This window comes from Homo sapiens, chromosome 10 (genome assembly GCF_000001405.40).
Source record: "Homo sapiens chromosome 10, GRCh38.p14 Primary Assembly".
NCBI lineage: Eukaryota > Metazoa > Chordata > Mammalia > Primates > Hominidae > Homo > Homo sapiens.
In genome coordinates, this window is record NC_000010.11 from 128,170,988 (window position 1) to 128,174,159 (window position 3,172).

General features: G+C 43.8%; 1 annotated feature.

Moving 5' to 3' along the window:
* Positions 1,731-2,930: an enhancer, noted in NCBI's record as "BRD4-independent group 4 enhancer chr10:129970982-129972181 (GRCh37/hg19 assembly coordinates)". NCBI's record gives its function as "activates an origin of replication core promoter dependent on BRD2, P300/CBP, MED14 and CDK7 cofactors, and independent of BRD4, by STARR-seq in HCT116 cells {active_cell/tissue: HCT116}" and the evidence as "EXISTENCE:reporter gene assay evidence [ECO:0000049][PMID:35650434]".

Consider the following 3,172-nt stretch of genomic DNA (forward strand, 5'->3'; position numbering starts at 1 on the left):
AACTGTTTAAAAGTGTAAAATTCATTCTTTGCTCATGGGTCAGATTTGGCTTGCAGATCATGCTAGTCTGCCAGCCTCTGCTTAGAATCTTCATTGACAAATATCCTACTTGATCAATTTCATCTATTTCAAATCATGGAACTTGAAGTTGCTGTATTTTTGGACAAAAATACACCATTAATGAGAAGCAAGAATTGAGAGGTCTTAGCGAGCTGCAGGTTAAATAATCTGAGGTAATAATCCAAGCTGAAATCAAGTTGAATAATAATTCAAGTCTTTTCTGAAATTCTGACTTATTATCTGATAAGTGTTATGCATTGTTTAGATAAGAGCTCACCTGGGATATTCATTCATTCATTGATTCATGTCTTCATTTATTAAACAAATATTAGTTGAATGTCTCACCCTGCATCAGACCCTGTGCTAGGCACTGGAGATGCAGCTGTAAGATTAGGTAAAGTTCTTGCCTTCATGGAGTTTATAGTCTAATGAGGCAGGCTAACATCAAACAAATACAAACTCAAATGCCTATGTCATTATGAATTCTTTCATTTTTATTTTTTTTTTTTGAGAGTGGGTTTTGCTCTTGTCGCCCAGGCTGGAGTGCAGCAGTGTGATCTCAGCTCACTGCAACCTCTGCCTCCCGGGTTCAAGTGATTCTCCTACTTCAGCCTCCTGAGTAACTAGGATTACAGGCATGTACCACCATGCCTGGCTAATCTTGTATTTTTAGAAGAGACAGGGTTTCACCATATTGGCCATGGTTGGTTTTGAACACCTGACCTCAGATGATCTGCCCACTTCAGCCTCCCAAAGTGCTGGGATTAGAGGTGTGAGCCACCACGCCTGGCCTGTGTCATTATGAATTTTTAAACTGTTATTTAGCAATGCCTCACTCATATCCCTTGGACCTTTTAGGATGCTCAACATTCAGCTACCAATACCTGCCTGTCTGTAACTGAGGCCCTCCTTTCCTTCCTTCCTTCCTTCCCTCCCCTCCTCTCCTCCCCTCCCCTGTCCTCTTCTCCCCTCCCCTCTCCTCCCCTCCCCTCCCCTCCCCTTCCCTCCCTCCTCTACCTGTGGGAAGTCCTACAGGCCACAGCAGGTATGGTAGACCTGAAGTACCTGGGAATGAACACTCATGCCCATCTAGATCCAGGACTGTAGGAGCTGAAGTATAAATACCCCAGCTCCCTTGCCCTATGAGCAGGAAAATATCAAAGTGTTTCCCCATTACTTAATTACTCTAAACAAACCTCAGTTTTCCTCTATGAAATGGGGATCAAAGTAGAATTTGCACTAGAGAGTCATACGTGGATGTATTAGTTTCCCATTGCTGCTGTAACAAGTTACAGGTTACTACAAACAGTAGCTTGCAGCAAAGAAGATTTATTATTTTACACCTCTCATTACCTATGTTGGGCACTGGTTTGAAAACACAGAAAGACATGCAGGTGCTATGACGGTCCATGATGGGTCAGTTGGATCAGGGAAGCAATATCTAAACTGAGAGCTGGTAGATGAAGTGGGGTCTAGCCTGGCAAGGAGGGAGCAGGGGGTATGTGTGTATGGGGGATCCTAGGTATGAGCACCAACAAGGTAGCTGGGAAGTCTGGCCCACTGACAACACACAGACACTGTGCCTGGTGAGGGGTACTGAAGCCTCCTTTGCTTTCAGGAAGCTGGGGGTTAATTGTGGTCAGCCTCCAAAAGGAATAATTTCTGGAATGTGTCTTGATCTTTTTATTTTCATATTATCTTCTGATTTTCTCATCTTGCCCTAACAACTACACTGTGGGGTTGGGAGGGGGAATAGTCTACATAGAGTGTGTGGCAGAGAGGTTGAAGGTTCAGGAAGCTACTGGCCCCTTGGCTCCCTGGTGTTTCTTCCTCTGTGATATTGCTGATGGTTCCCAAGAAGAGAAAACCTGTCATCCACCAAACCAGGGAAACCTGTTGTCTGTGCAAAACATTCGAAGCACTCAGAACTATGCAAGAGTCAAGATCACCTGGAATCCTACCACCTAGCAACACTCATTACTAAGGCTTGGTGTGCATCCTTCTTTACTTGTTATACATAGACACAGACTTGCACACATACAGTACTATGGTTTGGATATTTGACCCAGGTAAATCTCATGTTGAAGTTTGATCCCCATTGTTGAAGGTAGGGCTTAATAGGAGGTGTTTGGATTCCTCATGAATAGATTGATGCCCTGGAGGGAGGAAAGTGAGTTACTTCTCTATTAGTTCCTTTGAGAGCTTCCTTGGAGCTGATTAATAAAAAGAGTTTGGCACCTTCACTTTCTCTCTCTTCCCACCTCTCTCTCTCGCCTCTTCTCTTCCCATGGGATCATCTCCTGACCTTTGGCAATCCACCCACCTCTGCCTCCCAAAGTGCTGGGATTACAGGCATGAGCCAGCCACTACGTCTGGCCTCTTTTTTAAAAAAAAAATTAAATAGAGATGAGATCTCACTATGTTGCCCAGCCTGGTCTCAAACTCCTGAGCTCAAGTGATTTTCCTGCCTTGGCCTCCCAAAGTGCTAGGATTACAGGCATGAGCTGCCACACCCAGCCAAATTCCACACATTCTTTGATCATGAATAACTTATAATATTAGCCAATGCTTTCTGAGTGCTGTTGTTTGCCAAGCTCTGAGTTTGGTGCTTCTTATTTTGGTGCATTAACTCATTTAGTTCCCTGTGGTAGGTAGAAAAATGCCCTCCAAAATGTGTCCACATCCTAATGCCCCCAAACTATGAATATGCTACCTTACATAGGAAAAGGTACTTTGCATTTGTGATTAGGAATCTTGAGAAAGGAAGATTCTCCTGGATCATTTGTTCAGGCCCAATGTTATCACAAGGATTCCTGAAAGATGGACAAAGGAGGGAGAGAGATTGAAAGATGCCTGTGATGCTGGCTTTAAGACAGAGGAAAGTCTGGAGAAAGCAGACACTGATGGATGGTGGAAGAGACAAGGAGACAGAATCTCCCTTTGAGCTTCCAGGAAGAACACAGCCTCTGGCACCATGATTTCAACCCAGTAAGACTGACTTTGGACTTTTTCTTCTTCTTCTTCTTCTTTTTTTTCTTTTGAGACAGTATTTTATTCTATCACACAGGCTGCAGTGCAGTGTTGTGATCTCAGCTTCCTGCAAACTCCACCT